At 41.2% G+C, this 20,985-nt stretch overlaps 1 protein-coding gene across 4 annotated transcripts in view; it reads right to left on the reverse strand.

The window, feature by feature from the left end:
* Positions 1-12,697: 12,697 nt before the first annotated feature.
* NCEH1 (neutral cholesterol ester hydrolase 1) overlaps positions 12,698-20,985 on the reverse strand; it is an 80,819-nt gene continuing 72,531 nt past the window's right edge. For all 4 annotated transcript variants that reach the window (NM_001146278.3, NM_001146277.3, NM_020792.6 and 1 more), the window contains 2 exons: positions 18,365-18,536; positions 12,698-16,541 (listed from right to left, as the gene is read on the reverse strand). In NM_001146278.3, coding sequence (NP_001139750.1) covers positions 15,924-16,541; positions 18,365-18,536 — 790 coding nt within the window. In that variant the 3' untranslated portion in view covers positions 12,698-15,923. The remainder of the gene's footprint in view (positions 16,542-18,364; positions 18,537-20,985) is intronic.

Consider the following 20,985-nt stretch of genomic DNA (forward strand, 5'->3'; position numbering starts at 1 on the left):
TTTTTGAGACAGTGTCTCGCTCTGTTGTCCAGGCTGGAGTGCAGTGGTGTGATCTCGGCTCACTGCAACCTCTGCCTCCTGGGTTCAAGCAATTTTCCTGCCTCAGCCTCCCGAATAGCTGAGATTACAAGCACCCACCAGCATGCCCAGCTAATTTTTGTATTTTTGGTAGAGATGAGGTTTCACCATGTTGGCCAGGTGGGTCTCGAACTTCTGACCTCAGATGATCCAGCTGCCTTAGCCTCCCAAAGTGCTGGGATTACAGGCGTGAGCCACCGTGTCCAGCCAGTGCTACACATTTTTAAACAACCAGATCTCACAAGAACTCACTCACTATCACGAGAATGGCATCAAGGGGATGGTGTTAATCCTTCATGAGAAATCCAAATCTATGATCCAGTCACCTTCCACCAGACCCTACCTCCAACAATGGGGATTATAATTCAAACAGAGATATGGTGGCAAAACCGAACAAAACCATATCAGAGAATGAAGTTTGGAGAACCTGTTTTCATGCCTGCTTCTCTGTTGGTTTATACGGCTGCCTCCAGGCTTTCCTTACATAGCTACCCTCTCTTAGAGTGGGGAATAATTCCCTTCTTTGTCTTACCAGGCCTCGATGAGGATGCCTGTTACTACTAGTCACAGAGCATTGTACTGCCTCTTGTTGGTTTCCTTAATTGTGCCCACATCTCTGCACAGAGTCCCTATATTAAATGCTCCTCAAATGGGCCTGTTTGAGCTTGCCATCACCTTCCCATCTGGACTTGACTTATGCTCCTCATGTGCAGGGAGAATATAATGCACCTCAGGTGGGCCTTTCTATCTTAGATCCTTAAAAAATTAGGCCGGGCATGGTGGGTCATGCCTGTAATCCAGCACTTTGGGAGGCCAATGCAGGTGGATCACTTGGGGTCAGGAGTTTGAGGGAAGCCTGGCTAACATGGTGAAACTCCTCTCTACCAAAAAATACGAAAACTAGCCAGGAATGGTGACATGCACCTGTAGTCCCAGCTACTTAGGAAGCTGAGGTGGGAGAATCACTTGAACTCAGGAGGTGGAGGTTGTAGTGAGCCGAGATGGCACCACTGTACTCCAGCCTGTGCGACAGAGTGAGACCCTGTCCCCCCCGCAAAAAAAGGAAAAATATAAAAAGCCATAATAGAAATCATTTTCTATTCATTTCTCTGAGTAATTCACCAAGTACTGTGTCACATTTTTCATAGCTCTAAACCATTTTATAAATGTTTACATACACTATTTCCACCAATCCTGTTTATGAAGCAGGTGATCATCAGTAGCAGCTTCACATAACACAGGGGCTCTCACAATACAGCAGCATAGGTCAGCAACATCACTTGAGTCCTTGTTAAAATGTAAATCATTGAGTCCCACCCCAGACCTACTGAATCAGAAACTTTTGGGGTAGGACTAACAATCTGTGTTTTAAGAAGCCCTCCAGAGGATTTGAAAACCACTGACGTAACATGATTACATATGCATTTTTATGTGAGGAACCCCATCCACTACCCCCTACACCTCCACCCCAATGCAAAGCAATATTTTTTAAAAATTCAGTCCAGTGGGTCTCAAACTGGGGTATATCAATACATCAGAATGACCCTTGGAACTTGTTCAGAATCCCAGTGCTCAGGCCCTAAACTGGACTCACTGAATCAGAATCTCTGGGGCAGCATCTTACACGTGACTACCTCTGTGATATTGTTTGGCTGTGTCCCCATCCAAATCTCATCTTGAATTCTAGTTTCCACAATTCTCACATGTTTTGGGAGGGACCCCGTGGGAGATAATTGAATCATGGGGGTTGTTTCCTCCATACCGTTCTAGTGGTAGTGAATAAATTTCATGAGAGCTGATATTTTTATAAGGGGTTTCCCCTTTCACTTGGCTCTCATCATTCTCTCTTGTCTGCCACCATGTAAGACATGCCTTCACCTTCTGCCATGATTGCAAGGCCTCCCCAGCCATGTGGAACTGTGAGTCCATTAAACTTCTTTTTCTGTATAAATTACCTAGTCTCCTATATGTCTTTATCAGCTGTGTGAAAACAAACTAATACACTCTGCTTACACCATCAGCTGGAGACACCTGGAATAGATTACAACAAGCCAGAAGTTAGAATGCATATCACCTAGAGGGTTAACTGGTTACCGCTGAGGATTGGGAACAGAGGTCCTAGGGGAAGATCCAGCTACTTACAACAGAAAACCCTTTCTCCCTATTCCAAACCTGCAACAACCTGGAATCAGTCTGAAGGCAGCCCCCCACTTTCCTCAGAGTTGTTGCAGGTTTGCAACAGGGAGAGAGGGTTTTCTGTTGTTCATAGCTGGCTCATGTTTGTGGCAACTTTGGATGCAGATAAGGGTATAATGTTTGATCTTTTTTGAGCTGCCTGCCCACTCGTGTCTCTCATTCTGAGACTCTACTTCCAACCATAGCTCCCACTAATTGGGCATATGAGCAGGACCCAGATGATTGCACTCAACCAATTTATTGGCTGGCTAGCAACCAATCAGATTCCCTCTCAAAAAAAAAAAAAAAACAAAGTGCAGTAAGGCCTTGCTACTCAAAGTGTGGTCAGCTGACCAGCAGCATTAGGGAAATCCCTGGGAGTTTATTAGAAAATTAGACTCTCTGGCCATCTAGACCTACTGAATTAGAATCTGCAATCTAACAAGGTCCCCAAGTAATTCATATGCCAGTTAACCTTTGAGAAACACTAAGTCTGGGCAGCATGGTGAGAACTTGTCTCTACAAAATAAAAATATTAGCTGGACTTGTGGTGCATGCCTGTAGTCCTAGCTACTTGGGAGGCTGAGGTGGGAAGATTGCTTGAGTCCAGGAGGTTGAGGCTGCAGTGAGCCATGACTGCACCACTGCACTCCAGTTTGGACGACAGAACCATACCCTGTTTCAAAAAATCAAAAAGCAAACAAACAACAACAACAACAACAAAAAAAAAACCACTGACTTAAGAAACAATGTTAAGTCAGTAATAGGTGCCATGCCCCATCCATAATTGGTTTGTTTTTATACATTTCTGATACATGGAGAGGAAGAGGAAATAGCCTGGGTCTTGAATTTTCTGTATCAAGCTCTCTGAGGGGAAAGCTTTCCTTTATTTTGTGATCTTGGATGTCCAGGAGATTTTTGGTTGTATCCCTATGATAAACCTCACTCTACTTAAGCTATCTTGAGTGAGTGCTTTTTGCAAGAGATAGCTTGCCAAGTGATGAACTAAATCATGACTAAAAGAAAACTAAAATGCAAATTTTGTGTCCTTTTGTAGATTTTGTACAGAGTATTAGTTATGGGTAAACCAGCTTTTCTTTCCCTTTTTAAAATAAGAAATAATAAATCATCATGAAAAATTCAAAGCCAGGTGCAGGGGTGCACACTTGGCCAGCTACTGGGGAGGCCGAGGTGGGAGGTTCACTCAAGGCCACAGGTTTGAAGCTGTAGTGCACAATGATCATGCCGATGAATAGTCACTGTGCTCCAGCTTGGGCAACATAGCCAGACATTGTCTCCAGAAAAATTTTTTTAATAAAAAATTCAAATGTTTCAGAGAGTAGCAAACTGGGGGAAAAAAGTTTTTCTTCCCTTAAGATCTCTGTTCCCAGTCCTCAGAGGTAATGAATTAACAACTTTCTGTATAACCTTTAATAATTTTCTTGATTTTTTAAAATGTTTTTGACATGGAATTTTTCTTTTGTTGCCCTGGGTGGACTGCAATGGCATGATCTCAGCCCACCACAACCTCTGCCTCCCAGGTTCAAGTGATTCTCCTGCCTCAGCCTCCTGCGTAGCTGGGATGACAGGCATGCACCACCACGCCTGGCTAATTTTGTATTTTTAGTAGAAACGGGGTTTCTCCATGTTGGTCAGGCTGGTCTTGAACTCCCAAACTCAGGTGACCCACCCACCTCGACCTCCCAAAGTGCTGGGGTTACAGGCATGAGCCACCACACCCAGCCAATCTTTAATAATTTTCATATGCACCTATAACATTTTCTTTTTTTCCATGAGCCCCAATAAAAGAAAATCAGAAAGCAGATTATCTTATCATCAATACACATCCAGGGATATATTTGACAATATCTAACATTTGACTTTGGTTTAACTCAAACCTTTTTAAATTGCCCTTCTACAGCTTTATTTTTAATAGTCCTTAGAGACAAGTAGTAGGACAAACACTGTTACTTTTATTGATTCAATATATGGTTACACTGATGTTTAAAGTCACGTCCACAGTTCTCATTGAGGTTCATTAAATAAATAGTTACGTGAAAGTTCCTGCTGTATTGCTTTAAAATAATTGAGGACATTATTCAGTAGGTCACATGTCGGGATTTTCTTTTAGAATTTATTGATAAAGAAAGATGATCAACTCTGAGAAATTAGAAGACTTCTTCCTGTTTAAAATAAAGACTGAGTCACTGACTAAATTTTCTACTTTTTGCCTTGACTGCCAGGGTCCTCAGGGCCAAACTGGAAGTTCAACCACATAAACTGATTTTTCTAGTTAGCATATTTTTGTTCATTTCCTTGGCTATGAGCCTGATATGGTTTGGCTCTGTATCCCCACCCAAATCTCATTTTTAATTGTAATCCAAATTGTAATCCCCAGGTGTTGAGGGAGCGACCTGGTGGGAGGTGATTTGATCATGGGGGTGGTTCCCCCATGCTGTTCTCATGATAATAAGGGAGTTCTCTCACAAGATCTGGTTGTTTGATAAGTGTGAGACTCTTGCCCCTTTGTGCTCTTCTCTCCCTCCTGCCACCATGTAGGATGTGCCTTGTTTCCCCTTCACCTTCTGCCATGATTGTCAGTTTCCTGAGTCCTCCCCAGCCACGCAGAACTGTGAGTCAATTAATCCTCTTTTGTTCATAAATTACCCAGTCTCAGGTATTCTTTATAGCAGTGTGAAAACACACTAATACAGAGCTACTATTTCTGTGTCACAATTTCATTATATTTTTTGTTTAATTATAAGCTGTTTCAAGTATTTGGGGGGAGTAAGAAAGAGGTTTAGATAAAATGACTTTTAAGATGGGGAACACAAAACCCCAATAAAAACTTAAATTTACCGAGATATTTACTGGCAGAGCTGGAACTGGGATTACAGTTTCCCAAATTTTAGTTCATGATATTTCCTCTCTTCTACATGAAATGAATGGTGAGGTTTTCCTTCTTAATCATTTTATGTCTGTTTTTAAAAATATGGCAGTTCCACAAACATCGTGGCTGGATGTTGTTTGCTGGAACCTGTGCCCCAGCTTTTGAAGGCCACCCCTCCCTGCCTTATTTGTTGTTTTCAAAGGCAGTTTTTCTATAATGCAGTGCTGGGTGCCTGGGGTTTGCCAGCAAACAGAATGAAAAGATAAAGGTCGTATATTTCCTGCTACACTAAACGGTCCCTCAAAAATGCAGACCACCACTGTTCTGTCAGCCTTTCTGCAAAGGGATGGCAAATATCTACCTTGAATAAAAGCATGTTAAAAAAAAATAAAACACTTTGGCAAGCAGAGAGGTGAGTCATATTTCAACAAAGGATTAATGCAAGTCCTGTTTTGTTTGTTTTGAGAACTCAGTCATTTTTTTAATCAGGTAGTTATGAGAATTTTCAATTCTATTTTATAAAAAACAACCCAACTTAATCCTGTGATGAACTATGACTTTTATTGACCTTTTACAAAAAGTACAAGAAAGCTATTGATAAATCTTTTCTTTCTTTTTTGTAAAAAAAAAAAAAGAAAAGAAAAGAAAAGAAAAAGAATCCAGATGAAACACAAAACACAAACCGCAGTGTATGGGATGGCGAACGTCGTTGACTTTCAAGGCGCCCTCTACTGGCAATGGCTTTAAATTTTTAAATGTCTATTATATTATAGGCTTTGGAATTTCACTCTTTAACCAAATAAGATTTTCAATACATTAGTAGAAAGAAAACTCATGCAGGAAAGAAAGCCCCAGATATTTTATCTCAGGAATATAAATAAGCGAATATATACAAAAGTATCAGGCATTATTTTACATATCCTGAAAACTATGCGTTGTTAATAGGAAGAAGAATGATACAGTTGGTTGTTCATCAAAGATTTATTGAGCGCTTATAAGAGGCACCATGTCAGGCATTGGGGTCACAGAGGTGAGGCTGACGTGACCCCCACATCAAGGGTCCTAGTCTTGTGAGGGAGTCAGACCTACCTGCAGACAATTACCATGTCATGTGTGGAGTGCAGTGTGAGACCCGAGGAACGACCCCTAAATCCTCCTGAGAAAGGAGTTAGGAAAGGCTCCTGGAGGAGGCTGGCAAAGAAATACAAGAACAGTGAAAAGCACTCTAAGGAGAAGGAAGGGTGTTCGGTAAGAGAACATGGCGCATGTGCGGAACACGAACAGAACCGCGGTAATAAGTTCCGGGTTGGCTAGCTGTACCACAGCACGATGTGCAGGGACGGCCAGGAGAGGATGCTACAGAGCAGCAGCTCTCAAACTTTTCAGTCTCAGGACTTTACAATCTTAAACATTATTGAGGACCCTTCCCCCTCCCCCACGAAGAGCTTTTGTTTATGTGGGCTTCATTTATTGATGTTTACTTTTTTTTTTTTTTTTTTTTTTTTTGAGACGGAGTCTCGCTCTGTCGCCCAGGCTGGAGTGCAGTGGTGTGATCTCGGCTCACTGCAAGCTCCGCCTCCCAGGTTCACGCCATTCTCCTGCCTCAGCCTCCAGAGTAGCTGGGACTACAGGCGCCCGCCAGCACGCCCGGCTGATTTTTTGTATTTTTAGTAGAGACGGGGTTTCACCCTGTTAGCCAGGATGGTCTCGATGTCCTGACCTCGTGATCTACCCGCCTCGGCCTCCCAAAGTGCTGGGATTACAGGCGTGAGCCATCGCGCCCGGCCGATGTTTATTTACTTTTAAGAAACTGTTGGATGGGCATGGTAGCATGCACCTGTAGTCCCAGCTACTTAGGAGGCTGAGGTGGAAGGATCACTTGAGCCTGGGTGGTCGAGGCTGTTTGCCAAGATTGTGGCACTGCATGCTCCAGCCTGGGTAACAGAACAAGACCCTGAGGAAAACAAACAAAAAAAGAAGGAAGGAAGGGAGGGAGGGAGGGAGACTAAAGCTGATAAATTTGAAATGTAGTTATTAATGTATTTAATTACATGTTATCTTAAGCTCTATTTTACGAAAGAAATCCTGAATTTTTCAAATACAAATTAGTGAAAAATGTGGCGTTGTATTATATTTTTACAAGTATCTTTTTTTTTTTTTTTTTTTTTTTTTGAGACGGAGTCTCGCTCTGTCGCCAGGCTGGAGTGCAGTGGCGCGATCTCGGCTCACTGCAACCTCCGCCTCCTGAGTTCAAGTGATTCTCCTGCCTCAGTCTCCCGAGTAGCTGGGACTCCAGGTGCGCGCTACCACGCCCAGCTAATTTTTGTATTTTTAGTAGAGACGTGGTTTCACCATGTTGGCCAGGCTGGTCTTGTACTCCTGACTTCAGATGATCCACCCACCTCGGCCTCCCAAAGTGCTGAGATTACAGGCGTGAGCCACCACGCCCGGGCCTACAAATCTCTTTAATGTCTAGCTTAACTAGAGACAGCTGGATTCTCACACCTGCTTCTGCCTTGGATCTGTTGCAACATCACATGTCTGTAGCTGCTGGAGGACTCCGCTGTGCACTCATGAAAGAAAAAGTGACAAAGGCAAATAACATAGTATTATGAAAATAGTTTTGATTTTGTGGGCCCCCAAGGGGTCCCCAGACCACACGTAAGGAACTACTGCTGCAGAGGTGGGCAGGGGCAAGGTCACGAGGGAGAGCCGGGCACATAACATTAAGTGGCTTGAAACCTGCCAGTAGGCAACAGGACTTGAAGCTGAGAAGTATCTTGTCAGGTGTGAGTTTTAATTCATCGTTTTTGCAGCTGTGGAGGGGATACATTTGAGGAACATGAAACTGAGGGAGACAAGTAGTTAGGGAGTTATTGCAATTGTTTGGGCAAGAAGTGATGACTCAAGTAAAACAGTGTGTCCAGGGATGGAAAAAAAAGGGAATGGTGTTGGGAAATATTTAGGAAGTAAAACTGATTGGGCTTGGTGATTGATTGAAAGTTGAAGGACTGGAGGAAATAAATAAAACTTATAATTCTAGCTTGAGTAACTAGAGACCTAAGAGAAGGTGATACAATCAAATGACATAGGGACCATATAATGCAATGGCACTTCAGGGAAGAAGGTAATGCATTTAGATTGAGGCTTGCTGCCCTGGTAGGCCTAAGGATGGCTCAGGAGAGACATCTGGAAGGAGGGTGAATGTATAAATCTCAATCTTGTGCATGAGCATATTTACCATAAAACTTGAGTTTAGGGCCCTTTATCTGAATAAGCCCCTTTTATAGGTACACAAGATGTTGCTTTTTAAAAACACACATAGGTAAAAATACTTTTTAACTGCAGTTAGTATCACTGACTCTTCCCACCACAACTTCTCCTCCATTGTGATTCTCCACGTTAGATGGCTTGGAATGGCTACAGGCATTTTGGGGATCCGCTAAGGAAAAATTGAGCTGGGGATACATTTAGCTTGAGTTTAGAAGGATATATTTATTATATGCAGCTGCTTCAGTTAAGTTATTGCTGACTTATCCAGGAGAGGAACAGCTTCCAGGAATATCCCATTCTATACTCTGCTGAAGTGGAGGGCGTATGTATTGCAATATGAACTTATTCAATAGCACTAAGCAAAATAAATTTCAGCAGAGTGGAGCAAAAACAATGTTAGAAATGTTTGGGGTCAGAGTCAATCTGTGAAAAATTCTCTCAATCATCAGACATAAAAAATGTAAAGAGAATTTTGTTCTTTTCAATGACTAATCAAAATGGAATTCTCCTCTGGAAAGAATTGTGGTGCAATAAAGATGGCTATAGGCTGGGCACAGTGGCTCATGCCTGTAATCCCAGCAGTTTGGGAGGCTGACATGAGTGGATCACAAGGTCAGGAGTTCAAGACCAGACTGGCCAACATGGTGAAACCCCACCTCTACTAAAGATACAAAAATTAGCTGGGCGTGCTGGCGCATGCCTGTAGTCCCAGCTACTCGGGAGGCTGAGGCAGGAGAATTGCTTGAATCCAGTAGGCAAAGGTTGCAGTGAGCTGAGATTGCGCCACTGCACTCCAGCCTGGGTGACAGAGTAAGACTCTGTCTCAAAAAAAAAAAAAAAAAAAAGGCTATAAACTCTTAATCACACCCTCCATTGTGTGATGGTGTCTGTCTCCCCTCTCCTTAAATCTGGGCTGGTCCTATAATTTGCTTTGACCAACTGAATATGGTGGAAGTGATGTTGAATAACTTCCAAATCTGGACCTTAGAAGACACAAAGCTTTTTGCTTTTGCATATTGAGAATGTTCTATCTTGGAATCCAGATGCCATGCTTTTAGTATTACAATTCAGAAGGGAAAGCCATGTAAAGGAGATCCAAGGCAGTCAACCAACAGCCAGCACCACTGCCAGCCTCGTAGTGAGCCATCATGGAGGTTCTAGCTCAGTGGGACCCTGAAGTTTGTAGTCACAGGCAACATCAAGTTTAGCAGATGGTCCGCCAAGCTAAGCTCAGTCCACCCAGAATTCTGAGACAACAAATGACTGTTTTAAATTGCAAGTTGCATAATAATTTGTTGCTTGGCAATAGATAACCAAAACCCTATTGCATCATGTATAATTTTAAACTCTCCTTTGGTGTATGTGGTGTGTGTGTACACACACAAAAATTTTTCTTTAATGGAAATCACATGAAGTAGAATTTTGTGATGTTGATATTTGTCAACTTCTAAAACTATGGACAATTCAGTGTTTGGGCCAGAAGGAAAATAAAAGTCAAAGGGGAGTTTTTTGTTGAGAGGACAAATTTGACTGTATTTATAGAGCTAAGAGGAAGGAGTGAGTAGAAACGGAGAGTTAAAGGTACAGGACAGAAGGGAGGTACTTTAGCAAGTCCTTGAGTGAGACAATAATGAATTGGATTAAGGACACAAATAGAAACACTGGCTTTATCCAGAAGGAAGTTAACTTCATTCTGTGAGACTGGTGGAAATGACGTAAGCAGGAGAGTTGTTACTCAGCTTAGTAAACCATTTATCTTAAAGTACAATACTTAAAATAACGTTAACCTGCAGCTAAGCAAAATAAGTATTATTTCTTGATTTCATGAATTTAACTGGAATGAAAAACATTTTCTCTATTAAAAAAATAATGAAAACAAAAAGGGAAAACCACATCTTAAAAGTGGTAGATTGCTGTTGGCCGGGCGCAGTGGCTCACGCCTGTAATCCCAACACTTTGGGAGACTGAGGCAGGTGGATCACGAGGTCAGGAGATCGAGATTTTCCTGGCTAACACGGTGAAACCCCGTCTCTACTAAAAATACAAAAAATTAGCCGGGCATCGTGGCAGGCGCCTGTAGTCCCAGCTACTCGGGAGGCTGAGGCAGGAGAATGGCGTGAGCCTGGGAGGCGGAGCTTGCAGTGAGCCGAGATCGTGCCTCTGCACTCCAGCCTGGGCAACACAGTGAGACTCTATCTCATTAAAAAAAAAAACACACAAAAAAAAACGTGGTAGATTGGCTTGTCTGGTTAAAATTTCTCAAACTCTAGGCCCGGCGCGGTGGCTCACGCCTGTAATCCCAGCACTTTGGGAGGCCGAGGTGGACGGATCACGAGGTCAGGAGATCGAGACCATCCTGGCTAACATGGTGAAACCCCGTCTCTACTAAAAAATACAAAAAATTAGCCGGGCGTCGTGGCGGGCGCCTGTAGTCCCAGCTACTGGAGGCTGAGGCAGGAGAATGGCGTGAACCCGGGAGGCGGAGCTTGCAGTGAGCCGAGATTGCGCCACTGCACTCCAGCCTGGGCGACAGAGCGAGACTCCGTCTCAAAAACAAAAACAAAAATTCTCAAACTCTAAAATTGACTTCAGGCTGGGCATAGTGGCTAACGCCTATAATCTCAGCACTTTGAGAGGCTAAGGTGGGAGGATTACTTGAGCCTAGGAGTTTGAGACCAGCCTGGGCTACATGGTGAGACCCCATCTCTTAAAAAAAAAAAATTCCGTGGAACACTTATAGAATATGTTAGATAGGTCATTTTTTTAGTGCAGTTTACAATGGTTTATTCAACATAGCAAAAACTATCTGCTGAGAAAAATTTAGAACAGACATGAGTTGTGCAAAAAGCAAAAAGAACTTCACTCAAAAGCATTTTTTGCTTTAAAATTTGGTAGTTAAAAACAGGGCTTCCTTTCAGTTGTTTCATTTTGTTTGGAAATATTTACTTTTTAGTCTTAATTATATTTGACATAACTTACTTCTTAAAGAAGAAGGGTAATAATACCCCAATTCTTATAAGTTTAATTTTTCTTGGTGAGGACTTATTCAAAATCAACTTTAAAAAAACCACTCAGGCCAGGTGCGGTGGCTCACACCTGTAATCCCAGCACTTTGGGAGGCTGAGGCAGGTGGATCACTTGAGGTCAGGAGTTCAAGACTAGCCCGGCCAACATGGTGAAACCCCATCTCTAATAAATACAAAAATTAGCCAGGCACAGTGGCACGTGCCTGTAATCCCAGCTACTCAGGATCGTGAGGCAGGAGCATTGCTTGAACCTGGGAGGCGAAGGTTTCAGTGAGCCAAGATCATGCCACTACACTCCAGCCTGGGTGACAGAGCGAGACTCAGACCATGTCCTCTCCCTCTCACTCCCCGCAAAAAGAGAAGAACATGGCAAATGGCAGTTACAGCGAAGAAACACACTCAGGAAGGAGGCTTCAAAATCGTTTTTTCAAAGTCTACTGTGTGCCCTGTTTTAAGTGCTGAGAAAACAGGAAAGGCCAAGAAAGACAAAGTTCCTGCCCTTGTGGAGCTTACAAATAAGCACGGGGAGAAAAGAAAACAAGCACATACATACAGACATGATCATCAGAAGTGAGATGGAACAGCAACAATCAGTGTCGCAATCAGATGAGAGGGCCAGGGGATGGGGACAGTGGTGGTGATTGGGAGGGTTGGGCAGACTGGCTGGCTGAGATGGACTTCTCTGAGGCGGGGGCATTTAATCTAAGATGCCAACAATGAGTCAGCCATGAGAAAATGTGGGAGAGGAGCCTTTCAAATGAAGACGCGTGCAAATGCTGTCACCAACCTCTCTCACTCTGATGACACAAAATGTACTGACAGCACTGAGCTACCATGTGTGCCTATTAGAAATCATATTTACATTTCCAGTCTTTTGGATTTGAGACATCTGGTACTGATATCTGTATCTTCTAGATGTTTCAATAGGGGGTCCATTAGAAAATCTGAGTTATAAAAAAAATTAAAAACATAGGGGATAAAGAGAATGAAAATAACAAGAAAGCAATATTAAAACACACATACAGTTTACATTTAAATGCCCCAAAGGAGATGTGTTGGAGCTGTTTGGGGATCCATCCAGCCAAATATAACCACACACCAAGAGGTTTTGTTAGGGGACATGAAAGTAACTATAACAGAATAGGAAAACCAAATTTACACACTTGTATGTGGATCATTTAGAATATAAACAATTCACTCTGAAAAAAAGTTTTATAAATTCCTCTGGTATTGACATAAACTAAGCATAATAAACTCAAGTGTGAAATTAGATTTATTTGTAATGACAAGGTCAGTTTGAGAACCTGCCTTCAGTGATAGTGATGCTTTGGCTGAAACAATTCAGCTCAAACTCTTGGCATTATGATCATCCTTTTCCTAACATGTGTATTGAAGGTCCCAAAATAGTCCCAGGGCCTGCCTGGCTTTTATGAATATTCTAGCCAGTCCAAAGGAGGGCAACACATACTGTATCCAGACATGAAACAAATGTCATCAAGGAGGCCACTGAACCACCTCTCTAAAGGAAAGACAGCTGGAGTACTCCACTGGGCAGAAGATTGGGAAAGAATTGTGGCTGGCAATTTGGCATACAGAAAGAAGAGAAGAGAACACTGTTTTCAAATGGGAAACAGAAAATGAGACGGGAAAATGAAAGCACATTCCCAGATGGAGCAATTTTATTTCCAAACATGATTCAGAATAGATAGATGCTTTGCTACCTCCACACTGGATTTTCACTTTATAAAATATATTTGCTATTAAAATCATTCATAAAATCTACCTTCCCCTTCGTAGTGGGAAATAAGCAAAGTCAAAGGTTAAAAGGTCATGCATAAAATAGATCCACCAAGATAATTATATAATAGTCTTAAATTCTTCACAAATCAATAAAACATTAATTTATACTTCACTATACAGCACTTCAAGGTTTTTCTTTATATATTAATGTTTATATTTCACAGACAATTTTACAAAAAGATTATCATTTTTTTCATAAAATAGGAAAAGAAAGCCACAGTACTAAAAAAAAAAAATCAATCTGCAGAGTGTAAACATTTTTTATAAGAATACAAACTAAAAGAACAATGAAACTCAAGTACATTATCAGAAACAGTGGTTGACCTCTTTTTTCCTTTACTCCCTTTTCATCTGAGAGAGCCTTTTAGAGATCCGGAATCATTTGCTGTCTGCAATTACTATAGGCTTTGGCTCACAATTCTGGGGAAAATGCCAATTGAAGGAACCCTGCCTATACATTTTATTTTCTTTTTCTTCGAGACAGACAACCTCAAAATAAGGTCCAAATATTGGTTCCTTCAAATGGTGTCAAAAAGAATAGTATTATATGAGGAGGATAGTTATCACAGAATAAGAACTAAAATCCCATTTTTTTTTTTTAGGAAAAAAAGACCTTCGATGATGCAGGTGTCTGTGTATAAGGAACTATGACCTACCAAAAAAACCACCACATAAGGAGAGGCCAATATAATTTGCCAGTCTGACAAGACAGTTGGTATTATAAGTGGAAGAGACCTCAAGGATCACATAATTCAGCTCTTTGATTTTAGAGGGAGGAAAGACGAGGCCCAGAGATGGGAAGTGGCTTGCCTAAGTACATTAGCAAGTTAGCTTCAATGGTTATTTTTATACACACACAGGCACACATACATACTGTTGCATTGACTTCTGTTTTGTACATAAAATGCTACTGGCTCATACAATACATCAATAAGTATGCAACTTTTCATTTGTTATTTCGTTGCTGGAAGTGGGAAATACCCCATCTTCCCAGGAGTGAAATGGTTCTACTTTCTCTCCGTGGTGCCCTGTATCATTACTCAGCTCTGCTGCTGCTCTCCGCAGCCCCTAAAAGTAGCATGGATCGGGGAAGAAGGAAGGACGGCAGGAAGGCAGGCAGAGATCCTCAACTCAAATCACAATTGGAGTGTCTTGTTGTGTCAAAGATGTTCCCACTGGCAGTGAAGACTTTACATGAAGTTAAGCTTGGGCTGTTGAAACTTCCAGACCTGGCTGGAAGGAGGAGATGGGGGATCTAGGCAACACCAGGTGCCAGTGTACGCCCTTCACTCAGAACATGAGCTTGTGTTCCTCTGACCCTAAAAAGCGGAGATGAGCAGTGTGTGCCTTGCCTAAGCTACTGAACTATAAACCTAGATGACTTTACTAGGCGCAGTCATAGTTTCTAATTATTTTAACTTGTATATGCATATAAACACGAAAATATTTATGCCTATGTTATAGTAGTATTAATAGCTGTTATATCATTTCCACAAAATTACACGTGGTTATAACTGTAGGGAAGGTTTTAAAACCCTAAGGCAGTTTTTTAAAAAATACCATTGTTTTTAATATTTATTATGGACATCTTTCTGAAAAACCTTAAGTCTAGCTATGTATATTAACATTAAATAACTTAAAAAAATAAACAATACATTATATTGTAGCAAAATAGCTCCATTTTAAAGCCATATAAGTGAAAAAATTGAGTTTTCAATAATAGACTAGACCTTCTAAAGGTATTTTTAACAATTTTGAACTAATATTAAATGTATTTTCTTTTTTGACTATGCCAAGTATATTCACACTGCTCTTGGTACTTTATGTCAGAAGTATTTTTATGTGAAACACTAGGTTGTTTCATTTGTCTGTTTTTACTTGCTCTATAATGAAAAGTTTACTCTAAATCTAAATAAGTTTGCTCCCAAATATCTCCCCAAGGAGAAGGGGGACAGCATAACCAAAAACACAACAAAAACCTAATGATATATAGATATCCAGTGCATGCGACTTCATATTTTCTAATAGTGGTAGAAAGTAACTTTCAAGTATTCCTGTAATCCAACTGGACTTACAGATAGCGATCTCATAAAATGAACATTCTAGAGGAAGAAAGTCCTTTGAGAAACTTGTTCTTTCCAGAAAACCTTTGCCAAAATTCCCATAGGAAACAAAACCATCCATTCACAAAAGACCAGAGGGTACTTGGTCCCCAGTACTGACCTGAAAGTGCACGCATTTAATACTGCTCTGAACTCAAGGTTAACTCTAGCAGAATTAAGGAGTCCTCGTTTTTTTAACTTATTAAAGGTCACTCTATGATCCAGAGCTGGAAGAACTGCTTCTAAAAAGAACGTCCTAATGAAGGCAGGACCCAAAGTTATTTCCAGTTCCTAGTCCTGCTTTCTGTAGCTGTAGGTATCAGTATAGTTGGCTAAGATAACAAGAACAGAGAGATTGGCCCACTCTGGGAACCAAATTTACATGTTTTGCACTTAAGTTAGTCAAATTCATTTTTAAAAATTAGGTTATCATAAAGACTTCAGTTATGGAATAGAAATTCCATAACTCGCAAGTAGAGGGGAATGGGAGGAAGAATTAGTCAACTAAAAAGTGCATGTCTTTCCAAAGCAGGTGTAGGAGGTCAAGAGGGGCTCGAGGCTTCTGGAAGTTTTGCTCCTTTACAGGTTTTGATCTAGCCACTTGATGTAACTATTCCTAGTCCGGATTCCCACTGAGAAGTTGGTGGGCCAGCTAGTGAAAATCATACATCCGTGAAAGCCATCCTCAAAGTGATCCAGGGTCACCTCCACACCGGCACTCTCCAAACGCTTGGCATACATGATGCCATCGTCTCTGAGGACATCATGCTCACACGTCAGAATGTAGGTCTTTGGGAGGAGCTGCAGCACTGCCTGGTCTGCAATGAGTGGGGCGGAGCGGGCATCCAGCAACTGAGGAAGCTCCTGGACAATCCTGGCATTGCCTGTGGTCTGTACAACAGGCTTGTAGTTCTTTGTGAAGGATGCAGGCAAGAGGGATGTCCAGTTTAGACGGGCCCTGACAGCAGCAGCCTCTTCCACATCAAGTGAAGTGTGATTGTTAACGATCATTGCCTGCACAAAGTCATAGTTGCCTTTGAAGTAGTCCACCCAATACTTCACCATGACATAGCGGGGCAGGATTGGGGTGTTCACATTTTGCTGATAAGATGGTGTGTTAAAATCTAAAGCTTGAAGAACTGGATAAATTAAAGCTTGTAGTTTGAGCTTATTTTTTAGGCTGGCATCTTGAGTAAACTAGAGAAGAGGAAGCAAATACATTATTTCATTTTGCATGCCTTCTTTTATAGGAACCATACCCTGTAGAGTAGCTTCATGTGTTACTCTGAATCTGTCAATGGTATAAGTGTTACATTTCTACCAGGCACTGTATAAATAATAAAGTTTAAAAAATAATTCTCCATCATTACCATCACCACCCTATCAAGCTGCTAGATATTTAACTAAGAAAGGTATGATGTTTACAACTCAGTTTTGAGTGAACCCTGTACTTGTATCTATCTTTAGGCAGTTAAGACACCTAGGTATTATGAATGGATAATGTGTGAACCTTATTTAATTTTTTATTCCCTACAAAACCCCCAAAAAGGTCATGGCTTCCTAGGGGGAAAAAAATTAGTCTTATTCTTCCAGAAGAGAGGGGCAGAAAAAACTTAATAAGCAGATTATGAGACTCCTGAGTGTTTAAGTAGGACCTCAGGGTATGCTTTCTGGTGAGCATCTTCACGCTTGGTGAGACAGAATTTAAATAGTTCTGGCAATGCACCCTCCATTCTACATAATGAGCATATGCCAGAGTGAAGTTGTCATGGGAATGTGAATGAATCCCCTACCTCAACAGATCTCAGTCCCCCAACACCTCCCCACAGTGTTAACATTGCCCCATTTTGTAATTCTAGTGTGCAAAATTATATATTTGTCGTGTAACATCTAAAAGAAAGCTAACTAGTCATGAAGCTTCATAGACAACTAAATGATCTTCAAGGTAACTTTAGCCATACACTTCTGCTTCATACTTGGACTTTAGAAACCCATTCCCAGGTGAGATATGACTGCTCTCCAAAAGCAAGAATGGTCAGTAAATAGCACTTTGAATATGTGCCAAAAATTGTATACACATCACCTCACTAAGTCCTTGCAACAGCCCTGCAATCAGATGACACTGTCCTCGTTTTTCTGAGGCTCAGAGAGGTTAAGGGACTTATCCAGGGCCCCGCAGCACTCAACGGTGGGTCCTGGGTTAGATCCCAGTGCTGTCTGGCTTCAAAGCCAAGAATGTTCTCTCCACTGAGCCAAGACTCTCTTCTGACCATATTTGGATGGAAAACTTGCCAATGCCAAATGGAAAATCAAGTTCTTGAATTATAGCAAAAGAGTTAGAAGCCAAGGTACATCATAATTAGAATGACAGATGGTATTTGAGGACACCAAATGAAATTTGGAGGTGAGAAGACAAAGATGTCTTAAGTTACTTCATCCATAACAGGAAGAAAATGTGCTTTTTCCCACTTGCCAAAAAAATTGGGGTGCTATTAGAAGCTAGATATAGTTTTCAAAGAATTAAACCAGGTAAAGCTCATAGTAACTTGTAAGATAATATTTAAATGGCTGAATCGTTTAATTTCTTTCTTTTACATTAAAAAAAAGTTGGGGAAACAAATTTTAAGGTTTTAATTTGGCTCAAAGTTGTAAGGAACAATCTTAGGAACTGGAATTTAAGCAAAAATACTCCGATTTGCAAGTCAAACATGAAAAAGGAGCAGGGGATACTGGAGTTCCATACATAGCCCTGAGAAGCAAGGGATGTCAGCCCTTCTCTAACACTGACTGTAATCAGGGACTTTACAAAGACTCATAGGTGATACTTCCTCCAATGACTCATCTTCCTACTTCAACGAGATCTCTGAGAGCTCTACAAGTGTAATCACATGAACAATTTGGCCATCTAGTGACCGGCCCACCCAGCTATGCATTTGCCACACATAATGGAGGGTGTGTTGGTCTGCTAGACCTTGTCATGCACCGCTTAACCCACCAGCACCTTAGGACAGTGGTGTTACCTGTTGTCCAAGGGCAGCAGCCAGATTTCCACCAGCACTGTCACCAGAAATGCAAATTCTGCCTGGATCAACCATATACTTCTGTAAGACTTCTGGCTTCAGGAAATACTTTGTGGCCCGTACAACATCATGAATTTGCTCAGGAAAATAAACCTTTGGAACTAGCCTGTATCTGTAAAAACAAAAGTTGTATTCATTTAAGGCCTTCTCCAATTTTGGGGGACATTTAAAGTTTAGATGGAAACTGGTTCTTTTAAATCTGGAAATAGATAAGAAATTAATTCAATGGAATTATTGTATGAAAAAGAAAAAATAATAAAATATAAAAATAAACCATTTTCTTGCAAATCAAATACTTAGTTTAAAATGTGATGATTTTGTATTAGTAATAGTACTATTTTTCTTTAAACTATCAGCCACCAAACCAAACCTACTTACCACCAAGAACAACCAAAATAAAACTAACAAGTAAAAGGCGAATGTTCATTACAAAGACATGGATAGCACCGTAATAGATTTTAGAATTTTATTTCTGGAAGTCAGCATTCCATTCATAATGCCTCTGGGTTACGAGGTGACTTGGCAGGATTAACCACTTCATTGATCTCACATTTAATGAGTCCATCATTTACTTCATATAATAAAACTGTACTTCACTGGAGAGGTCCATATTAGCCTGACATTAAACCCAAGAAATGCATTCAATACCTGGAAGACTGTAACTAAAAGGCCGGTTGTTAACTCACAAAAGGGAAGCTAAGTTTTCCAGACGGCCTAGAGCAGGCCCTCGGGGATACTTCTGGGGCTTCTCCAACTGGCCCCACTTCGCAAGATCAGAGTCCTTTGGAATCCTACTCTGTACACCTAGTAGAATTCATATCCCCTTAAGATTCCCAGAAAGCTCTGGTTTTGTCAAATGCCTCACCCATAGTGTTATCTTACACATCTACATTGGCAATCTTGGTTTAGAGTTCCCTCTCACTCTCTACTCCCCTCTTTTGCTTATTAATTCTCACTCATCCTTTAAGCCTTAACTGGAGGGTTTGGCCTCCTCTGGGCAGCCTTCCTTGGTCATATCTCCACTTGCTTTTGGGCTTGAACTGGCTACCATTCCTTGATATTTCTATGTGCCAGGGTACGTCACTCACTGTTCTTATTGGCTCATATGAAAATTATCATATGTTTTTCCTAAAGATTGTGTTCTCTGATATCAGGAACTGTGTTTTATTCATAACTGTGCTTCCAGTATCTGCCAATGTGAGGGGCACATAATCATCCATCCAATAAATCTTTTTTGAGTATTAACATACCTTCATTTTGCAAACGAAGAAACTAAGGCATACAAAAGTTACTTGATTTGCAAAAACTCAAAAACAGACCAAAATTAGGTAGGATAAAAACTAATTACCTAATTAAAAATTAATAACAGCCAATGAAGACTCAAGACTTTTGATTTCCATCTTATAATTAGCATACTTATTTTCACAAACTAATTTTTTCTAAGCTACTCTAAATAAAGACATTTATTTTCCACAGTCTAAAATCCAGCTAGTTGGGCTGAGAGCGGTGGCTCACACCTGTAATCCCAGCACTTTGGGAGGCTGAGGCAGGTGGATCACTTGAGATCAGGAATTCAAGACCAGCCTGGCCAACATGGTGAAACCCCATCTCTACTAAAAATACAAAAAAAGGGCCAGGTGCGGTGGCTTAGGTCTGTAATCCCAGCACTTTGGGAGGCAGAGGCAGTCAGATCACCTGAGGTCAGGAGTTCGAGACCAGCCTGACCAACATGGTGAAAACCCGTTTCTACTAAAAATACAAAAATTAGCCAGGCACGGTCGTGGGCGCCTGTAATCCCAACTACTCAGGAGGCTGAGGCAGGAAAATCACTTGAACCCAGGAGGCGGAGGTTGCAGTGAGCCGAGATGGTGCCACTGCACTCCAGCCTGGGTGACAGAGCAAGACTCCATCTCAAAAAAAAAATAGCCGGGCATGGTGGTATGCACCTGTAATCCCAGCTAGTTGGGAGGCTGAGGCCTGAGAATCACTTGAACCCAGGAAGTGGAAGTTGCAGTGAGCTGAGATCGAAAGAACAAGACCTGGGCGAAAGAGCAAGACCCTGTCTCAAAATAAAATCCTGCTAGGTAATTAAACATCTTGACATTCATTGTAGATAAAATCAAATGGACAAATGTTTGTGAAATACGTTGACAAGTAGTGAATGTGGATCTGGTCATTCCGGAATTACCACATTTTGAAACTAAATGCAATAAAAAAACTCCCTTAGTGGAGGCGGAGCTTGCAGTGAGCTGAGATCGCGCCACTGCACTCCAGCCTGGGCGACAGAACGAGACTCTGTCCAAAAAAAAAAAAAAAAAAAAAAAAAAAAAAATCCCTTAGCGTTTGCCATATAGCAGATAAAATAAATTTTCTAATTTCTTATTTTTCCATCTGGGGTGGTCAATTAATCATGCAAAATGCTTTTTTTTTCCAGTTGATTTTTCACTATGTATGAAAGCTGCTGCTATATAATCTATATAATTCCATTTGAGCAAAAAAGTAGAATTACGCAGTTTTGTCCACTAGATGACATCATTTCATATGAGTCTATTTACCCCTAG

The sequence above is a fragment of the Homo sapiens genome, chromosome 3, assembly GCF_000001405.40.
Source record: "Homo sapiens chromosome 3, GRCh38.p14 Primary Assembly".
Classification (NCBI taxonomy): Eukaryota; Metazoa; Chordata; class Mammalia; order Primates; family Hominidae; genus Homo; species Homo sapiens.